The sequence below is a fragment of the Homo sapiens genome, chromosome 2, assembly GCF_000001405.40.
Source record: "Homo sapiens chromosome 2, GRCh38.p14 Primary Assembly".
Lineage (NCBI taxonomy): Eukaryota > Metazoa > Chordata > Mammalia > Primates > Hominidae > Homo > Homo sapiens.
Genome location: NC_000002.12, coordinates 199,785,430 through 199,808,202, shown reverse-complemented (window position 1 = coordinate 199,808,202; position 22,773 = coordinate 199,785,430). Strand labels below are relative to the sequence as shown.

General features: G+C 38.9%; 1 protein-coding gene across 21 annotated transcripts in view; it reads left to right on the top strand.

Moving 5' to 3' along the window:
* FTCDNL1 (formiminotransferase cyclodeaminase N-terminal like) overlaps window positions 1-22,773 on the top strand; it is a 187,358-nt gene that overhangs the window by 42,990 nt on the left and 121,595 nt on the right. For 4 of the 21 annotated variants that reach the window (XM_047444167.1, XM_047444161.1, XM_024452857.2 and 1 more), the window contains one exon: window positions 944-3,799. The exons of 15 other annotated variants lie outside the window; for them this stretch is intronic. In XM_047444167.1, coding sequence (XP_047300123.1) covers window positions 944-963 — 20 coding nt within the window. In that variant the 3' untranslated portion in view covers window positions 964-3,799. Of the gene's footprint in view, window positions 1-943; window positions 3,800-12,430; window positions 17,220-22,624; window positions 22,736-22,773 lie in introns of those variants that run through there. 2 more of the 21 variants (XM_024452872.2, XM_024452854.2) reach the window with 2 other exon arrangements.

Below are 22,773 nucleotides of genomic sequence, written 5' to 3'. Positions count from 1 at the left end.
AGGCTGTACAAGAAGCATGATGCTGACATCTGCTTGGCTTCTGGGGAGGCCTCAGGAAACTTACAGTCATGGTGGAAGGGGAAGGGGGAGCAGTTATGTCACATGGCCAGAGAAGGAGCAAGAGAGCTGGTGGGGAGGTGCTACCTACTTCTAAATGACCAGATCTCACAAGAACTCACTCACTGTCATGAGGAGAGTACCAAGAGGATGGTACTAAACCATTCATGAGAAATGCACCCCCGATAATTCAGTCACCTTTCACCAGGCCCCACCTCCAACACTGGGTATTATGATTGAACATGAGATTTGGGTGGAGACATTGATCCAAACCAGATCATCCATATGTTCTAAATAAAATGTTGGCAAATTTCTGTTATCTACTAATAGATACAAATATGTATGACCTATTTTTCCCTTTTAAAATCTATTATGATGGACTGTAGTGCTCCAGATGAGGTTTAGTTAATGGTTTAAAATAAAGTTGATTAAATGTGGCCTTTGATCCAGCTATCCATTAAAAAGCAAAAATTTACATTTTTATTATAAATAAATAATTTTCTTTTTCTGAGATAGAGTCTCATTCTGTTACCCAGGTTGGAGTGCAGTGGCACAATCTTGGCTCACTTCAACCTCCACCTTCCAGGTTCAAGGGACTCTCCTACCTCAGCCTCCTGAGTAGCTGGGATTACAGGTGCACATCATCACACTCAGCTATTTTTTTTTTTCCAGTAGAAACAGGGTTTCACCATCTTGCCCAGGCTGGTCTTGAACTCCTGAGCTCAGGTGATCTGCCCACCTCGGGCTCCCAAAGTACTGGGATTACAGGTGTAAGCCACCATGCCTGGCCAATAAATAATTTTTAAAACAAGCACAGACACACCTCTTACTTCTCATTCATATTTGAATTTGTCTTTTCTTTCTCTGTTCCCCTTCTGCCTTTTAGAAAATCTGAACCAGCTGTAAATTGCAGAAGGTGTTCTGGTGGATGGGTACACTATCACCAGCTCTTCCTCTGCAGGAACTGGCATAAGTCACTGGGATGCATCTATAATAACTAAGAAGGACGATCCCATTGGCTTGAGAAGACCTGACAGAATGAGCTAACAAATACCCCGACCCATACGCAGCTTTTCTCAGATTGGCCTCTTAGAAGCAGCCCTACAGTTTGTGCCAATGTTTCATCAGTATTTGTTTTTTAAATCTTACTACAAGGTGGACAATGTATGGAATATGTGCTTCATAGTTCATATTTACCCTCCCTCCTTTCACCAACTGTGAAGAGGCCAAAATTGATGTGAACAAATAGACTTTACTTTCTATCAGCCCCTTTGTGTTTTTATTCTACCCAACTTTAAACTTTAACTTTTAGTTTCTTAAAAGAGGGATAAGGAAAGCAACAAGCTAGGCTATGAGGTGATAAGGTTTTGTGTGTGGGGTGCAGGGGAGAGGGGGAGTTGTCATTGGTTTCCAGCCTAAATTGGGGCTTGACTCACGATAAATTAAAAGTATTTAAACATTGGGAGAGGGGAGTAAGGAAAATATAACTGAAATAAAACAAAAGGGAGGTAATATTTTCATTTCTTGACATAATGAAAAGCCTTGCTCTGTAATTGGTTTGTACTGTCTTGGAAGTGGCGTCCGTGGTCAACAAAGGACCACTCTGTGAGAGATCTGCAAGGAATTTATCATTCCCCCTGGCTGAGCCAAAGCAGGCTTGATATACAGTTTTGTTTCGTATAAATATTCTCATGTTACTGTTTATTCTGTGGGAATGTGAGGATCTCACTGACAGGGTACGTGCTCCACTGCCTTGCTTTTAAAGGCATTTATTTGACTCTGTTGTTTGTACTTGCCCAGAAACTTCAGAGAACAGCCCAGGAACTTGTTTGATAAGCATCCAGACCGTGCTCCCGAAGTATGTTGTGCTTGGGGGGTTAGGAAAGCTTATTGTTTTAAGCGAGCCTGCACATGGCCTCCAAGGAGCCCATTTTTCATAGATAAAACAATTAGAACACCCTCAGCAATCTCTTAGAATGCTTCTCCAATGTGTAATAAAATGTCCTGGTGAGCAGGGCTCTGGTTGAACTCAGACTGCCTTTGGATTACTGTGCCACTTCTTTTGTTCCTATTTGCAGTATTGTGAGGCAAGTTAGTGTATTGTGAGTTAAGATGTGAGATACAGACCTAAACATGGGACTAATTTCTTTCTACATTTTTAGTGTGGGTGTTAACCTATTATCTCTCAGCTCCGCATTCATCCTTCCATATACTTTTTTTTTTTTTCAAGACAAGGTCTTGCTTTGTTACCCAGGCTGCAGTGCAGTGGCATGATCATGGCTCTCTGCAGCCTTGACGTCCCAGGCTGAAGTGATCCTCCCACCTCAGCCACCCAAGTAGCTGGGACTACAGGTGCACACCACTACACCTGGCTAATAATTTTTTATTTTATTTTATTTTATTTTTTGAGACAGAGTCTTACTCTGTTGCCCAGGATGGAGTGCAGTGGCATGATCTCAGCTCACTGCAACCTTCGTCTCTTGGGTTCAAGCGATTCTGCTGCCTCAGCCTCTGGAGTAGCTGGGATTACAGGCGCACGCTGCCACACCCAGCTAATTTTTTGTATTTTTGGTAGAGACGGGTTTCACCATGTTGGTCAGGCTGGTCTCGAACTCCTGACCTCAAGTGATCCGCCTGCCCCGGCCTCCCAAAGTACTGGGATTACAGGTATGAGCTACTGCGCCCAGCCAGTTTGTTTCATTTTTATGTTTAGTAGACACAGGACCTTGCTATGTTGCCCAGGCTGGTCTTAAACTGAGCTCAAGCAGTCCTCCCGCCTTGGCCTCCCAAAGTTCTGGGATTACAGTCATGAGTCACTGCACCTGGCCCCATACTCTACTTTCTGATCCTGGGACTCTGCAAACCACATTTCTTCTTTGCCAGCCAGTTCCCTATTAGGCTCTGCCAATATGGGGTCCTGGACTGAGGAGGCTGCAGGGGTGGAGGATGGTGAGGGATTGCTCCTTCCTTTTGACCTCCTGTTTCTAGAAGCCCCACTTCAGCAGTGACTCTTCACCTTGACAGTGGCTCTTAGTTCCAGGCTCCAGCTGTTCTTTCTCCCCACCCCCCAACACTTGTCAGAGCTTGCCTTGTTGCACTCCTCAGAAGCCCCAGCATCAGCTGGGCAGTGCCACCTTCCTCAGACGCCTGAGCCCCAGCTCTGCAGGGCCTCTCCTTTCAGCTTCTAGGCTCTGAGGACCCCTGCTGTAGTGAGTGGTGCTGCCTGCAGTTACAGCTCTGTGATCCCTTGTTCTCTGTTTTGCTTTTTAAGTTCAACAACTGTTGACAATTTTTTTTGTGATCTCTTTTGAAATGCTTAGTGTGGTTTCTGTTTTCCTGATTGGGTTCAGACTGGCTTCTGTCAGAAACAAACATCAGCAGACCCAATGGGACTGGGGGAAATGGAGAGGGAAAGGAGAAGGCAGAAAATACTCTTTGTGAACATAGCTCCTAACACAAACAGCCCACGCATGGTTACTCTCCTTTTCTTCTCATTCGCACATTATTCTCTTATCTCACTGTCTTCTTCTTGTCAAATTCGCAGTTTCCTTTTGGAATTCGTGCTATTTTTTCCACCAGTAGGGAGTCTGAGTGTTGACTTGAGGTGAGGGTGGGAAATGCCATGGAAAGCATTGGGCCAGGTTTTCCAAAGGATGTCTTTTGCGTAGTAGCATATTCCATCATTTAAAATGTAAACTAATGTAATTATATAATTTAAATAAGTAAAGTCTTTTGAATCTTATAATAGTTACTTGTCTTTCCTTGTGTAGCCATCTTTACCTGCCATGTAGATAATGCTTTTTATCTGGCGGTAGGCCCCCAGCCAAACGCCTTTCCCAAACCTCTGGGTACCACGCTATCAACTTTTTCTCAGGAAGCCCCGTCTGAAGCCAGTCAGTTTCCTAACTTCTTAGGTACCTGTATCTCCATGAAGACTAACTGCTTTGAAAAAAGTAATTATATGGATGTAGTTTAGCTAGGATCCATTGTTACAAAACTATATTGTTTCTAGTACGTATAAAGGATTTTCGGTAACTGATTAATATTAATCTGTGTCTATCCCAAAATTCTTTTTAGTAGTTCATCTTCATGATATCCACTTTGTTATTTCACAAAGATAAAAGGAAGATAAAATAGCAAGATATGGGAAAAGAAGTCTTGAGTGAACCCTTTTGGCATCATTATTTGTAGCTATCTTTTACTGAGTACCAACTAAGTATTAGTTATTACATGATTTTCACAACAACCCTCTGGAGCAGGTGACTAAAGTAATAAAATTCCCTAAGTGCTCTTAGCCTATTGGGTCAACCAGGAACCTCCTCCTACCATATCCCATACCTGTAGGTTTATACCACTGCCCTAACCCTAAACAGTACCCCTTGGGCTGGGCATGGTGGCTCATGCCTGTAATCCCAGCAATTCAGGAGGCCCAGGCAGGAAGATCACTTGAGCTCAGGAGTTCAAGACCAGCCTGGGCAACATAGTGAGCCTTTGTCTCTACTAAAAATAAAAAATTAGCCAGGCGTGGTGATACACGCTTGTAGTCCCAGCTACTCAGGAGGCTGAGAAGTGAGGATCGTTTGAGCCTGAGAGATCAAGGCTGCAGTGAGACATAATTTTGCCATTCTATCCTCGGTGACAGAGTGAGACCCTGTCTCAACAAACCAAACCAAACCAAACCAAACCAAAACAAAACAAAACAATAACCTTGGACCCACATTCTCAGATCTCCAGGCCTCTCTTCCTAGGCCTGATGGGCCTTCACCTCTAGTTTGTTGTGTTCCAGTTCGAAATTGTACATCCAGTTAGTTGACTCACCCCTCTATGGCAGTTTTATAGGATGGTCCACTCAGGATCCTGAGACTTCTTCCAGATCTTAGGCCTCTCTCCAATACTTCTGTACTCTTTCCTCATTTAAAATTTCTTCCAGGTCTTTTTTTTTTTTTTTTTTTTTGAGACGGTATTCCTCCATCACCCAGGCTGGAGTGCAGTGGCATGATCATGGCTCACTGCAGCCTCAATCTCCCAGGCTCAGATAATCCTTGCACCTCAGCCTCCCGAGTAGCTGGGGTTACAGGTGCACACCACCACAGCTGGCTAATTTTTTTATTTCTTTTTATTTTTAATAGGGATGAATTCTCACTCTGTTGCCCAGGCTGGTCTTGAATTCCTGAGCTCAAATGATCTTCCTACCTCAGCCTCCCAAACTCTGTCTTTTACTCTATTATCATATTCTGAGTTCTTGCCCATTTATTCCTTTTTGTACCTGAAAGAACTATTAGCTTCTAGTTTTGTGACTTCCTCCCCTGGACTGTCAGCGCCTCCTCTGTAGGACTGTGCATTTTGTGCTGCTAGGCACAACCCTCTCTCATCAGGTGGGGAAGTGGAGGATGAACTGCACATCGCCAGATTTCTCCCAGATGAATTTCTCTGAGTTGGGCCACAGACTTGCTCCAACTCATTGGGAGATGCCTGAAATCACTCCCACTATCTTGAAATAGCCAAGTCAGCCATAGGACCCAGAGTAGTCCCCATCAGTATTTAAATCAGGGAGGAAAATTGCCACCAGGTGAGGCCAACACTGCTGCTAGAACCAGGATGGATGTGGATTGTGCAGCCAGTGCTCCAGAACTCCTGGCTGGCTAACCATGCAGAGTCACCTGGTCATTTCTTTTACTTTTAATTCACATCCCTACATTTTATGCAATTTTAGTTTATGGACTTGACACATTGACTTGTTACAGGGTTTTATTGATGTTGTTTGTTTTGCTGGCTAGACTGTAAAGTCCCTGAGGATGAAGCTTCATTCATAAATATTTATTGAGCTCCTACTGCATTTCAGCAGGAGCAGATTTATCATTATCCTAGTGATACATAAGATGTAGGTGCCCTCACTTGTATGGAGACCTAGTAAGTCCTGGGTAATATGTTCACAGGCCCTAGTAATATGCTTACATGGTTGTATGATTTCGAAAAATGTACACAAGTTAGATATTTTAGGCACAATCTGTTGAAACTGCTGTCTCTTCCCACCTCTATTTCTTTGTTATATGTCCTTTCATGATGAGTGGCAGCGGAGCAGCTAGTATTGGCTTCATGAGCTTGCAACCTGTGCAATAGCACAGGGTCCTATGCTTGGTTCAATGTTCTGCTGTTACTGTCAGGAAATTCTGAATAATTTTTTTCTTATTCCTTTTTTTTTTTTTTTGAGATGGAGTCTCGCTCTGTCGCCCAGGCTGGAGTGCAGTGGCGCGATCTCGGCTCACTGCAAGCTCCGCCTTCTGGGTTCATGCCATTCTCCTGCCTCAGCCTCCTGAATAGCTGGGACTACAGGCACCCGGCGCTACGCCTGGCTAATTTTTTGTATTTTTAATACAGACGGGGTTTCACGGTGGTCTCAGTCTCCTGACCTTGTGATCCGCCTGCCTCAGCCCCACAAAGTGCTGGGATTACAGGCGTGAGCCACCGTGCCCGGCCTATTCCTTTTTTTTGAGACACATTGTCACTCTGTTACCCAGGCTGGAGTGCAGTGGCGTGATCTTGGCTCACTGCAACCTCCATCCCCAGGCTCAAGTGATCCTCCCACCTCAGCCTCCAGAGTAGGTGGGACCACAGGCAAGTACCACCACACACCTGGCTATTTTTTTTACTTTTTATTTTTGATAGAGACGGAGTCTCACCATGTTGCCCAGGCTGGTCTCCAACTCCTGAGCTCAAGAAATCTACCTGCTTGGGCCTCCCAAAGTGCTGAGATTAGAGGCGTGAGCCACTACCCCCAGCAGGGACCCATATTTTCATTTTGCACTGGGCCCCGTGAGTTATATGGCTGGTTCTGGGAGTGGCTCTGGACATTTTTGGACTCAAATAAAGGAGAAGTTGAGTTGTGAATATTTGTGTGGTTCATAGTCACATCCGTGTCTAGTGAAGTCATTACCAGCTCTTCCAGTGCAGGAACGGCTCCCAGGAGTACTCCTCTTGCCCTCTGTGATGGCTCACTCAGTGCTGTGACTCACAAAGCAGGGCCAGAGGACCATCACAGGTGAGTGTGTCCTCTGGTGCCCAGCATCAGAAGTATGTAAGAAGTGGAGGAAAAACGAGGATCAAAAGCTATGGAGCCAGAAGCTAATCTGTGCAAAATCTTTCTAGTTATTGGCAGCACAAGGTTGTAAGCAAAGGATGTGGTTTTTAATAATGTCCATCCAATACAGAAGCTGTAGCTGCACTTATGTATATGTTGATGTAGTATATACAATTATAAGGACACCAGATTATTTCATTTTTTGTGATAATCATAGGAAACAGAATTGATCAGAATTTCTGTTTCTAGAGGAACAAATCTGTGATATAGCTATCAAGAACAAGTATGTCCCATGGGAATTTGCCTGTTGGGAAAGTTGTATCCCAAACATTAATGATTAAAAACACATTTCTGTCAACCATTCTAAATAAAGGAATGAGTTATTTTATATTCTGTTCATATAAAATGACAGATTACTATCATTTGCATAGGTGACAAAAGAGTAGCCATAAAAATGTGGAAAACATGTATAGCACTATACAGATAATAAGTATATGTTATTTTTCTGGAATTCACAATAATTGTAGTTAAAAAATGTATAGTTTGTTGTAATTTATTTTCTCATTCTAAATTCACTTACAAACCTATTTTTGGGTTATTTTTTAATGATGGTACTCAAAATGGTGTAAGCTTCCAGCTTCACAGGACCTGGACCTGGCCGTGTGCTGAGTACATGCCAAGCATTTGGCACATCTATTACTTTATTTAATTCTCACAACAGCCCTCTGAGAGCAATATTATTCCCACTCTACAGGTACAGAAACGGAGGCTCAGAGAAGTTAAGTAACTTCCTTGAGGTCATATATCTTGTAAGTTTCAGGACCAGGTTTCTGTATAGGTTTGTCCTTTCTGAAGTCTATTCTTTTACCCTTTGCTCTCCAGTTCCTAGAGTGACAATGTCATTTCCTCAGAAAAGTCTCCTAAGATCACCAGGGTAGGTTACATGCTCCGTTATGCCTGTCCTTTCTTTCCTAGCTCACATCACAATTAACTAATTACTAAAGTGATTATACTGTGATTATTATATAATCACAGTGTTTTATTATACTGTGATTAAAAGTGATTATCCTGTAACCTCCATGGAGGAAGCTGTCTGTTTTACCTACAGCATGGAAACTCTGGGTATTCAGTGAATAATGCATTTAGATCTACTAATTTTCAGAGGCACCTTAGAGCAGCTTCTTGCCTCAAGCACTTTCTTTCTCACCTTTCCTTCTGCTCAGCAAAGGAAGGGTCTGGGAATGGCAAAACATTCAGGCTCAGAATTAACACCCAAGAGTATTAGGGTTGTGCAGCTGATAATGTAGAGATGTTATCATTTATACATTCACACCTTCATATGGATTGCCTGGTACCAATTTCAGGTACCAGATATCTATGGGGCTGGGATATTCATGCCAAAAGGGTATCTGTTACATAGTTTTATATTTTTGTAAACTGAGTCATCTTAAAATGGGAGAGCACCTGTGTTCAATTTTCCCTGGAATGAGCTGCTAAATTCTCTTGTACTCTTCACTTCGGATGAGGTTTTCTGGATGACACCATCTGGGAAATGTCACTTTGATTAAAGTAAATATGCAGCATAGTTAACACTGGGAGCCTATTTGAATTTCTCTAAGTAGCCACATCTACAGAAGCAGAAGGCAGCCGGCTCTTTGGGCTGGGAGAACTTGAGAGAGATGCATTCCACGGTTTGGTGTCAGTCGAGTGGCAGTGTGTGGCCAACTAAGCTCTGAAGGATTTTGTGTATTTTCCTTTTCTTACCATTGGGCTATTTTTTTTCTTTTCCAGTTTATTTTGACACGAAGAAGAAAATATATAAAAATAAAAAACTCAGCTTTACGATTGCCAAGTTTTTCTTTCAAACTAAGAAAAGAAACCAGTTGTTGAAAAATATGATGAATGGCATCCTTTGTTTTATTTTCAGCGTAGCACATGAGGGCACTGCCATTGGAAAGGGGCCAAATTCCCCAGGCAGGAGGGAACCCTGGGCTGAAAGGCGGCCTAGTGATTTTGGAGGCTGGTGTGTCAGGATTTCCTTTCAGCTGTTACAAATATCTCTCTTCTTTCCACAAGATTTCCTCACAGACTCACCCCCCTCCCATTCTTCAGGCATTCCTTGTGTTTTCAACACTTGCTACTGATGAGGATGTCATCTATTTGTAAGAAAACGCCATTGGTACAATGTGGGGCTTTCAGCATTTACATTGTGGTTTTCCCGACTTCCACAGCTATTGACTTATTTGGCTGTGGGATCATGTATGGTTGAGGGCAACAGTCAGTAGTTGACGTGTAAGCAATCCATAAGATTGTTAGCATGATTCCTGCTCATTGTTGTCTTGTCACCAAGTGGTTTGGGAGAACCAAGGGGAGAGAGAGTCTAACTTTCTTGTTCTGAAAGTCAACCTCAGGGCCCTTCTGATCTCTCTGTGCCGCTCACGTGGTGGAATGAAGAGGAAGGGATGGATGAGAAGAAGGGTCATGCTACTCTTTCAAGGAAGTGAGGGAAATGTCTCAGATGCCTTGAGCTCATCCTCATGTGTCCCATGAAGTGAAATCTAAAATTGCTCTGAGGACGTAGGTGAACTGTACCTCCACAGAACCTGTAGCACTTTCCCAATTTGGAAGCTCCTTCTGAAAACTTTATGCACTTTGGCTGGGGTATTTAACTCATTTATTATAACTTTTGTTTGCCAGGGTGTTTTTCTCACTAGACTGAGATCTTTGAGAACAGGGCTGTTTTATTCCACTTGGTAATTCCAATACCTGGTCTCAGAAAACCTTTGCTAAATAAATTAATGTACCAATAGCTGAATTCCAAGCCCTGGTGTTGAGTCAGAACTAGATAACTCTCTAGGTATAGTTGGTTTAATCATTTATCAAGTGACTTCAGGTTCTGTTGCATCAAGTTGAGTTACATTTATAAGGGACAGTTAAAGGAAAAAGCTGTTCTGAACTTCTAGGGAACAGAAAGTCTGGCTCAACTTATGTGTGAGGCTGGGGAAAGAGGGTAGAGACATCACAATTCCTCATAAAGACAGACATCAAATGACTCGAGAATGCAAACACCTGACTTACTTCCTGCAGAAACGCCAGTGGGAAAAAGTGTGAGTTGGAGCTCCTCATGCCTCTTCCTGTTGTCTTTACTCTTAAATTCAGGCTGTCTTTTAAATGCCCCATGATCTACTTGTAAACTCTTTAAGCAAAAACGATGCCAGGTTCTGTTCTGTGGCTACCAGATTGGAGCTTTTCTCTCCCGGCTTCATTCAGTTAATTGAGCTGTGCTGGAAGGTTCAGTAATTTATTCTATGGAGTCTTTCTGTGCAAACAATTCCAGGCTGAGGGAAAGAGACTTAGCTGAATCTCTCAAACACTTGAAATGCAGAATTTATGTTTTGGAAAACACCAGTGAGTCAGTGTCCTCAAATGTAATCAATAAAAGACAGTCTCCATCATCAGCTTTTCATTAACTGAGCTTAGAGTTGCCTCCTTTTATTGCTTTTTACATGTTTACAGTATCTCATTCTTTCCTTGATTCTGGATTTTCACACCATATGGCCACATCTTTAAGTCATTTTTCAGCTGCTCTATTAAATAGTAAAATGAGATTCAGAACAGATTTCTTTGATTTTAAAATAGCATTTTGGGTGTGTGACTTTGTTGTAAATAAAAAAAGAATTAAGACACTCAAACGCATGAAATTTCAGGTATTTCTACCCAGACAGTGTAATATGTAGCTTTCTGCTTACTTAGAATAAATATATGTTTATCTCGTGGAATTTCACCTGCTGCATAAATGGATTCATTCATTCTGCATATTGAAATTCATTTCTACTTAAATAAGATTTAGCCTCCACTGTTGCTAATGAACATAGATTGAAAATGAAATTGAAAGTGTATCTTTATAACTATTCAATATTATACTGTATTTCTCATTAGAAATGATTGCTATCGCTTATAAGCATCCATACTACATGTCAATAATGCTCTATTGCTGTAATTATGGTGGTGTTTCTACTATTTGATCATATAAAAGGGGATTCTTTTATGTTTTACTTTTTTTCTGGGTTATCTAGTGGTCAGTTCCTTGAGAAGCTGCAAAGGAGAGATTTTTGACTGCCAACATTTGGATCTCACAGTTTAGAGTTGGTCAATGAGGGCTTAAGGCGTATAGTCCTACAACTTAATACAGTTTACTTTGTAAAGGGTTACACATATTTAAAAGACTATTAAATATTTACTACTTGTTTTCTGAGCCAGAAAGGACATTTTGGTGTAGATTGTATGGGATTTTTTTTTTTAAGGATACTACTTAACAAAAGGAAACCACTGCATGAGCAAATTTTGTAATATGAGTAAATTTGCCATTGATCCAGACTTTAGCAGCAGAGACTGTGTCAGTCACAATTAATCAGCTTATGAGTATGTGATTCAGAATCTTCAATTATCCTTTAAAATCTGGACATCGACTTGAAGAAATGACTGACCTACAGTTGATTGTTTAAAGTTAAAACCAAGTGCACTCAACATCTGAAAGGTCAATAGTCTCTTAATTGTAATTCAATAAAGTTAATTTAAAGTGGTATACAATTTGTGAGTGTTATAATTACAGTTCACATATTTTTGACTTCAGTGACGGTACCGTTTGCTAGAGAAATATGCTTCAGTTGAGGATAAGTCCATTGGATGTGTGTATTTTGATGGCTATCAATATTTTAAAGTTCATTACTTAATATGATACATAGGAAGATAGCAATTTGGAGCAACTATTCTAAATAACTCAGGTAAAATTCTGCTTTTTCTTGAACTATTCTGGCATTATTCATTGTTTTATTGTCACCGTGATAAACTTGCACAAAATTTTTAAGCAACAGTAACAAAAAAGTAAAACCTTGTTTTTAATTCTGTTTAAAATTTTAAAATCAGAATCACTTCTGCATGTTCTATTGTATTTTTTTCAATAACATATATCTCTAGAAGACATAGTTGGTATCTCCCAATCTGTTTTATATCATTTCTAGAATGTAAAGATTGTCTCTGAGGCCAAAATTAAGAGCATGCTATCCTTTCCACATAGCAAAGATCATCACCCCTCAGCATGTACTAAGTATCTAAAACTTGGTGGTGGCAGAAAATGTTATAGACATAGTGCTTTTACCTAAGAGCTTGACATTAAGAGAGATAATAGCATTTACCGAGACAAGAAAAGGAAATATGGATGACAATGAGATATAAACAGTACATTGACAGATCAGAAAGACAAACATTTCTCAAAATCTCCATTGTCATTTTCAGCTTGGAGGTCAGCACAGAGGGCCCCCCTGCTCCTTGAATGAGATCCATTAGGAGTTTTGGAAGAAGTGCCAGCCTTCTGGTGTTTCCAGATCACTGCCTGGCAGGAAACAGTTTATTATTTTGAGAAAATTACTTATTTAATAAATATTTGTTGATCTACTGTGTGCCACTCAGGTTATAAGAAACAGAGCTGTGAATAAGACGAAGTCCCTGCCCTTAGGGAGCTTGCTTTCTAGTGGCAGGAGACAGGCAGTTTACAAATAAAAAGAAATGGAAAAATGTTCATATGATGTAAGTACCATGTAGAAATATAAAGAATAAGGAGGACGTTTTTGTAAGGTGTTCAGGAAAGCCCTCGTTAATAAGATGCCCTCTGAGCAGAGAAAAAGAAAGAACCACGTGTTTGTATTGGGAGGAAAGTGAGGTATCGAGGCTCAGCTGGAAGAAACCTGCAATAACTCCTCTCTCTAGCCATCCTGTATTCAGCCATCACGTCTGATCTAGCCTAACAAGTGGGTAAAAGACAAATTACAAGATTACTCAGGTCAAAGGGTCTCTTATTCTCCAGTCAGTGCCATACTGGAAAAGTAATTTTATCAGCTACCACTTATTGAGTGCCTTGTATGTCAGGCATTGGGTTGGGCATTTTGCAGCAGTCCAAGTCAAATTTTTATTATTTCCTTTTCTCTAATAGGGAAACTAATGCTTAACTGAAGTTAAGTGACTTTCTCAGGCCCACATGGCTTTGAATGATGGAGCCAGAATCTGACCTTGGGTCAGTCTGACTCCAAAGTCCCTACATGTTGTTGCCTCTTCAAGAGGGTAAGGTGCCTGGGAGGACAACAACATGAATGCATTGTTATTATTATTAGTAGTAATAGTAGTATTTGAGACAGGATCTCACTCTGTCACCCAGGCTGGACTGGAGTGCAGTGGCTTGATCTTGGGTCACTGCAACCTCTGCCTCACTGGCTCAAGCAATTCTCCCATCTCAGCCTCCCAAGTAGCTGGGACTATAGTTGCGTGCCACCATGCCCAGCTAATTTTTTGTATTTTTTGTAGACATGAGGTTTCACTATGTTGCTCAGGCTGGTCTCAAACTCCTGGACTCAAGTGATCCACTTGCCTTAGCCTCCCTAAGTGTTGGGATTACAGGCATGAGCCACTGCACCTGGCCATGAATGCATTATTATTAAAATATCCTCAGAATGTGACAAATGTTAATGTTCTTAATTTAATGAGAATGGCTGAGTTGTTCTCCAGGAAAAGTCAGAATAACAAATGGCTACCAGCCTCTGATTGGATTCACTGAAAGATGCAAGGTTTTGTACCATAGAGAAGTAGAAACGTGGTTATTAGCTAGTACATTTGGAATCTTTGGGCCACTGATCCGCATAATCCATCACTCCATTATTCCTTCAAGTGAGAAATATTTGCTTTGGCCACAGTGCTTTTATATTTTTAAACTTTTGTGTAGGAATGCTGGTTCTTCTATGCAAATATTGCCAGCCCACTATTTTGAATAAAAACCACCCAGTTCCTTTCAGGAGCATTGGAAATATATTAAAAATTTTCTGGCTCTTAAATTTTCCACCAGTGTGTACTCAAATAGATAGGATTAATAAGATTAATATCCATTACTATTCATCCAGAATTATAAAATTTCAACGTATCTGTATTTTCAATGATGAAATTTAGAGTATTTCTGTCCATCTAAGACACATCAGAGTCCACTAGGGTGCTGACTCATTTGAACATCAACATATGGAAAAGTGATCTTCAGCTGGGATAATTAGAAATGCAGCTTTTACTCTTTATGCCACCTCTTTCTATAACGTTTTGGTCCTACACTTTGAACTAACCTTGCGGAGAAAAAAATGATAATGAAGTGAAGTACACGTATAATGAGTATCTGTTAAAATAATAGCTCTGGAAAGAAACTAAAGTTTAATGCAACACAGGAATTTTCCCTACTTTTTAGTGGATTCACATTACAGCTGGTCTTAGGTCGTGGCCTGGGTGGTTGTGAGTTCTTGATGTCAATGCCGTATGTTTAAGGGGGAATATCAATCCGATAGCCATTTTCTTTACTCATGTGTGCTATGCATTTATTGTTACACTGGGACTCAGCTTTTTTTAAAAATGTAAATGTCTATGTCAAAAAATAATCTTAGATTTTTCATTGTCTTGATCAAATCATGGTTAGCTTTGAAGAATGGATGATTTTGTGAAAATTCATAAGGGAAAAATGTCTATATAAACGGACTGCACCAAACTTCAAAATACTTTTATTCCTTTGTTGTTCTCCAGTTTGGTTTTGGTAGCCTTATTATGACTCTTTATTGATGATGGGTAGTCATATATATTTTATGTTTCTTTCACTTGCTTCTCAAGTAATGCCCCCCCTCCTCCGTCTATTCTCAGGAAATATGAAACTAACTCTCAGAGGGTTTCTGTTGAGGACTAGATAAGAATTATGCCTTGGATTATTTATCCTTTATTCACAGCTCACCTACTTTATTATTTTTCTGATCTCATGTATTATTTCCATTTCCACTCATCTCATTATGTTTCTAAGGGAACTTTGGGTATAAAGATACTTGCAGGCAGTTAGAGATGTTAATTCCATATGTATAAGAGCAGCAATTAGCATCAAGAGCTGTTTCTAGTAGGAGGAAGGAACTTGGGTCCTTGTAGGCAAATGAAGAGAGACTCATTTCACCACTTTCCCAGAAGTATTTTGAGGTCATTGTTTTTGTGTGTATGCTCCCTAATCTATCCATTAAATAGAAATCAGAAAATTATACATTAATAACATATTTGACAATACAATGAGAATCTAGAGGGGAAAAAATATGTTCCTTAATTTAACCAGTATTGATGGTTAAATTACTTATGTTTGGTACTAGCATATTTGGAAATTAAAAAAATAGCACCCACGGTTTCTGTTTAGGATCTTGCTTTGGATACAAAGGTTGCACATGTGGAGTCATTAGAAAGCAATTGGAAGCAGTGCAGAGACACGAGGAGATAAATCTCTATGCTGGGGATAAGTGGACTGTAGAGATAAGAAGTCATCAGAGGGAAATGCTGTCAGGTTTGCAGGAAACACAGATTAGCGAGACGGGTGAGAATATTAAAGATTGAGGTAACATGGGCAAGAGCACAGAATGGGAAATAAGTGATGTGTGAGTGGGTAGTTGGTAGGCATGTATGTAGTCAGGCACGAAAGGTACAGAAATTTGGTTTTGCCCTGTTTGCTCACAACCAAGCAGGGAGAAGAATATACAACCCCCTAAGTATAGTACCAGTGGTAAGGACAGAAGGGAAGAGCCAAAAAGTCCTCTGCTGGACAGAGTCAGGGAAGGATCCTCAAAGGAGGATGTAATATTTGCAGGATGAGGCAGGGACTTTGGAAGGGTATAGCAGATTTGGTTGGATAGAAGTGAGATCTCTGGTGAGAAATAACGTTCAATGTACTTTAAAATCTAGTATCAATTATTTCTATATTTACCAAAACACCTACTACTTTAGGAGACTTGATTGCACAGTTGCTTTGGGGCTTCATATTTCAAATATTGGTGAAATTTGAATCATTAAGAGTGATAGAAAAATAATTTTTTCAAAATTTCATCTCCCACCATTTGCTTTTTCTTTTCAACAAAATTTACTGTGATTTTTTTTTTACACATAAAATTGAATGGATAAGGCAAAACGGAGGAAAAGACAAAATTCATAGTGGTAAATATGCTATATTATTTATTTACATATTATTTTCTTCTAAAGGGGATAACGTAGCTAATTCTTTTAGTACTGTTATGGAAATTAGCTCATGTAAATAATTTATAAAAGGTGATACTATATACAAATGTAGCATATACTATAGCGGTAGTATATACAAATAGGTATATACACATATGCATATACATATATTTGAATGGGGCACATTATATTTGCTTGTAGTCTCTCTCATCACTTTGTACTGCACCATCAAAAATTTTTCTTTATACTATTAGTCCTTTGGAAACACAGTTATCAAAGTAAACAAAAATAGATGGCCTTGACTGCATAACATTATATGGATTTAACATAAATTTTATATTATGTACAATGACACTATTAAATGTGTTAATACAACACATAAAATGACCAATTCTCTTTAAATTTTAGTGTTTAGCATATTTGTTTTGATTGTACGTGTGGGAGCTGTGAGAACAGCTCTGCAAAAATACTTTGCAAGTTACCATAGTGACTAAAGTGTAGTGCTTTATGATATTGTCTTTCCCCTGGGTCTTAATTCAGTTGCGTGCTTTTTAAATCATAATCTAATAGTTGACGTTTAAATTTTTCTATTTTTAAAAAACTGTATACACACATACAGGTTTATAACTTTACTTAAATGTATAATTTGATTATATTACACATTCTTCAAGTAAAATGTTACTTTTTCCTTTCTCTTTTTGCTGGGTTCCCAGAACTCTTTTTTCTCCTTTTTCTTCCCCCTCTCAGTGATCCATGTTGACAAATGATATCTTTTAAATTTTTTCCTCTATTTTCATACAATTATATACAGACCTATATATGCATGTACAAAAATAAAGCAGGATTTTTATAAGCAGGATTTCATGGAAATAGTTCTGAATTAATTGATACGTAATAGTTCCTATTTATTCCTTTTAATGGCTTCTTAATGTTTCATGTTGTAAATGGGTCATAATTTAATCACTTTGCTTCCATTTTTTGTTCTATGAATAATGCTTTAATAAATATCACAATACCTATGTCCACACTTGCCAGTGGTGTTTTTATGTCTCTGGGATAGGTTTTAAGAAGTTGAGATTGCAGCGTTAAAGAGTATATTATATATTTTAAATTTTCACAGAAATTGAAATTACCTTTTGAAAGAGCTGTAACACATCAAATTTATACCTAGCAGTATTTGTATCTTTATCCCATGTGTCTGCCAAGCAGTAGGAATTAAATATGATTCTCTTTAATTTTTGCCACTCAAGTGTAAAGTAAAATTTCATTGTTACTTTAGTTTGCAGTTTCCTAACTATTAGTGAATTTGCTGGTTGACAGTGTGGATATGTTTAAGGAATATGTTTGTCAAAAAAAAGTATTTATTTAAGAATTGCCTATTCATATATTTGAATAGGCATTTATTTGATTTTTATTTGATTTTTATCCTTTTCTTATCAAATTGTGAGATCTGTTTGTATATTACAAAGATACCCCTTTGTATATCAACTCTGACACTTTTTTTTTTTTTTTTGAGACAGAGTCTCGCTCTGTCACCCCAGCTGGAGTGCAGTGGCACGATCTTGGCTCACTGCAACCTCCGCCTCCCAGGTTCAAGTGATTCTCCTGCCTCAGCCTCCCGAGTAGCTGGGACTATAGGCACACATCACTATGCCCAGCTAATTTTTGTATTTTCAGTAGACACAGGGTTTCACCATGTTGGCCAGGCTGGTCTCGAACTCCCAACCTCAGGTGATCTGCCCACCTTGACCTTCCAAAGTGCTGGGATTACAGGCATGAGTCACCGCGCCCAGCCGCATTTTTTTTTCTTATAGCCACTGTGTCTCTTTTGCCTTTCAAGTGTCTTATGCTATACAGAAATTTTAATTTTTTACATAGTCTTTCAAAAGTGTTTTAGTATAAAATTATCTAATTCTTTCTCTTCCCACCCTCTTTGCTTTCATAAAAGCAAAAACCTTGTCAAAATTCTAATCAAAATGACATTACATTTATATAACTGATATTTTTAAATAAAATTAAGTATTCCAGCCAAGAACATGGTGTATCCTTCCACTTGCCAGACCTTATTTTATGTCTTCAGTAGAGTTACCATCCTCTTTATGCAGGTCCTGTATCTTTCTTGGAAACTTTATTCCAAGTATTTTATTTGTTGCTACTGTAAATATAATATTTTCCTGTTTTCTATCTCTAAGTACTTCTATGGAGAAAATATATTGATATTTAGATATTTATCTTATATCCAGCTACCTTGTCAATTTTATTTATTCTAAAGGTTTTTATTTTTTAAACTTGAATTTCTTGTGGGCTTCCTGGGCATGGATTCATGTTACCAATGAAAAGAAGTAATTTTGTATCTTCATTTTCAATTCTTATGCAAGCTATTTAATTTTCTCTAAAAATCAGAGATAATATTAAATAGTAATGAAGATACTGGGCCTACTTGCTAAGTTCCTAATTTTAATTAAGATGGTTGTGATGGTTTACCATTTAGGAAAATATATGTGCTTGCTTTTTCATAAATATTCTGTGTTATAAGTTGTGTTCTTCTATTACTATTATTTTTAAAGTTTTTAAAATAGAGATGACTACTGAATTATATCAAATAACATCTTGGCATTTATTAACATTTTCAATAATTCTTCTCCCTTAATGTATTGATGTAAGGGATTATGTTGATGTATTTGTTACCATTAAACCGTCTTGCATTCCCGAAATAAACTACTCTTCGTTATATCATATTACTCCTTTGGGATTTTGCTGATGTTTTGCTTAGTATTTGTAGTATATTCACTGTAAGATTAATCTGTGGCTTGTTTTTTCATTTTTGTGTTACCATCTTTCATAGGTTTTGGTGTAATTGCTGTAATATAAAATAAATTCAAGAACTTTCACTTTTTTTCTAGAGTCTGGAATAATTTAAGTAAGTTTACAACTATAACAATTTGAAGATTGGATAAAATTGCCCTAGTGACTTCTTTTTTTTTTTTCGTAATGATAGCTTTCTTCTATGGTAATTTCCATATTCAAGTTTTCATTTGGGTAATTTTGGTGACTTATATTCAGCTATGAAATTATCCATTTATTCTAGATTTTCAAATTTGTTTTCCATAGAGTTACACATAGAATTCTCATAATTTTTAATCTCTTCTCTGTCTGTATCTGTTATACATCCTATTGCTCTTATTTTTAGGATCTCTCCTTTATCTTTAATCAGGCTTGTGAGTCTTTTTTTTAAACATCATTTTATAATCTTTTCAAAGGAGGAACTGTTTGTAATTTGTTTATTCTTTCAGACTTGGGGGTCTATTTTATTAATTTCACCTTTTATTATTATTAATTCTTCCTAGTTTCTTTAAGTTTATTTTGTGTTTATTATCCTAATTTTAAAGAGGGAATATTTAATTCTTTAATTTTTAGCCCTTTTTTTGTAATAGCAAACAATAAATTTTTCTCTGCAAAGATCTTGCTGTATCATATAGGATTTATTATCCAAACAGTTCCTAATTTCTCTTTCTATTTTATTCTCGGGATTTACTTCAGGCTTATTCAAGAGAGTGCTTTTAAATTTCCAAGTTGTCGAGATCATTTTGGCGACCCTTTTATTATTTACTTTTAATTTTATTCTACTGTGATCATAGAATATGCTGTGCTAAAATATCTACTAAAAAAATATTCCCCTAGAATTTCTCTTCTTCCCTCTCTCAGCTAGAATGCAGATATGCCAGCCCCTGCTTCATGCCAAGGGCACAGATGCCTTTGGGGAGGGCAGAGCAACAAGATAGAAAGGACCTGGTCCCTGAATAGCCATATGGAAAAAATGGCATCTTTATCAGGACTGCTCACTTAAGCACTACTTTGTAAAAGAAAAATAAGCTTTCATCTTCTAATATTGTTTATGTTCTTTTTCTTATAGCATCTTAGCCCTTAATTCTACTCTTATAAGCCTTATCTGCAAGCTCATATTCACATTGCCTTTTCATGTTTTGGTTATTATTTTAAATGCAGAAATCCAGTTTCTGCATGGAATACAAATCTGCAGTGCTTACAATTCCAATTTTGCATTTAGTGCTAATGACACCATCACCACAGGGATGCAGAACAAAATTATGTCCTCGGAAAAGTACGTGTTCATATACATTTATGTATTTTATATTTTTACTTAAATATAAAATATTAAAATTGACTATCTGTGAATTTATACTCTGTTTCCTTCAATCTAAGATGCCATTGACTCTAGAATTACAGTCAAAATATTGCAAGTCATATAGTTGACATTTGTATTTTTTTCCCCCATATAATGTCATCGTCTGTGACACAAAGAGCTGTGGCAATGTAGAATATTTTCAAAGAATGCTTCTCTCTTGTCTCTGAGATTTTCTTTCAAACCTCTGACACGAGTTCTGCAAGTTTTATATTGCATGTATGTGGTAGGTAGAATATTGTCCCTCCCCAGAAAGTCTCAATGTCTTAATCCCGAGAACCTGTGAATATGTTAGGCTACGTGGGATAGAAAATTAAGGTTGCCAAGGCTTGGAGTGGTGGCTCATGCCTGTAATCCCAGCATTTTGGGAGGTCAAGGCAAGTGGATTACTTGAGCCCAGGAGTTCGAGACCAGCCTGGCCATCATGGTGAAACCCCGTCTCTACTAAAAATACAAGAAATTAGCTGGGCGTGGTAGTGTGCGCCTGTTATCCCAGCTACTCAGGAAGCTGAGTCAGGAGAATCGCTTGAACCTGGAAGGTGAAGGTTGCAGTGAGCCAAGATCGTGCCACTTGCACTCCAGCCTGGGTGACAGAGCGAGATTCTATCTCAAAAAAAAAAAAGAAAAGAAAAGAAAATTAAGGTTGCCAATCAGCCAACCTTAAAATATTAAGATTATCCTTGATATCTGAGCGGGCCAAAGGAATCACAAGGTCCTTAAATGCAGAAGAGGGAGACAGTAAAGGAGGTCAGAGTGATGCAATGTGAGAAGAATCCAGATGCTGCTGCCGACTTTGAAGCTAGCAGAGGCCAAAAGCCAGGGAAAGAGGGCAGCCTCTAAAAGCTGAAAAAGGCAAGGAAACAGATTCTTCCCTAGAACTCCCCTAGAACCATAGAGGAATGGAGCCCAGGTGACACCTTGATTTTCACCCAATGAGACCCACTTCAGACTTTTGAATCCCAGAACTGTAAGATAACAAATTTGTGTGGTTCCAGGCATTATGATGGTAGCAACTTGTCACAGCAAGTTGCCATAGAAAATTTAATACAATGTGCAGGCAGTGCTAGTGTTTCAACACTGATCGCCGGCTAACAGCAATTTGAAGGTTCACCCTGATCTCAAGACATTAAAATATGAAAAAATATGTACTGTAAATTTGATGAAATATGGTAAATGTATGTTAAATAGGTGTCATAGGAAGGACCATTTAGAAATTGTAACAGTGGACTCAGTCTTGTGTGATACTCAGAATCCAGTTAGACATCATTTTAATATCTGAAGTAATTGTGTCACTCCTAAATAAGAAAAAATATGAGAAGAGTGGAATTCGATCAAGTTCAAAGGTTTTTAGTAAGGGCTAGGCAGGAAAAACATGCAAATACCTTAAAAGCCAAAGAAATGTAAACCTCAGTCAAATGATGTGGCAACCTGGGCTAAGTGACACCCCCTTTTAAGGTTCTGAAGTCCCCAATATATATATATAAACAGGGCTAAGTGACACCCCTTTTTAAAGTTCTGAAGTCCCCATTATGTGTATGCATATATATATATATATATACAGGGCTGGAGGTAGCCCAGACTGTTCATGCCTGTGGTCACTACACAACTCCACAATCAGGGTGAACACAAAGTTGTTTAGGACAGGGGTCCTCAATTGCCAGGCCACAGACAGGTACTGGTCTGTGGCCTGTTAGGAACTGGGCCGCACAGCAGGAGGTGAGCAGCAGGAGGGCAAGCCGAGCATTACTGCCTGAGCTCCACTTTCTGTTAGATCAGTGGCAGCATTAGATTCTAATAGGAGCACGAACTCTATTGTGAACTGCACATGTAGGGGATATAGGCTGTGTGCTCCTATGAGAATCTAACTAACAGTTTCATCCTGAAACCATCCCCCCTGCCATCTGCCATCCATGGAAAAATTGTCTTCCACGAAACTGGTCTCTGGTGCCAAAAAGTTTGGGGACCACTGATTTAGGACATCATTGTTCTGTTGGTGACTAAACAACATTAAACTCAGTCAAGTGAGCCAGGCATGGTGGTGCACACCTGTAGCCTCAGGGAGGACCTGTACTTGGGAGGCTGATGTGAGAGGATCACTTGAGCTCTGGAGTTTGAGACTAACCTGGGCAACAGAGACCCTGTCTCTAAAAGACAAAAAAATTCAATCATGTGAATTGCTGCCAATAATAACTAAAACTTAATAAAAATGTATTTTGAAATAATATCTACAGGTTACAAGTAAAAAGGACTACAACTTAAGAATTTGGAAGAGTTGGCTGGGCGCGGTGGCTCACGCTTGTAATCCCAGAACTTTGGGAGGCCAAGGCAGGCGGATCATGAGGTCAGGAGATCGAGACCATGGTGAAACCCCGTCTCTGCA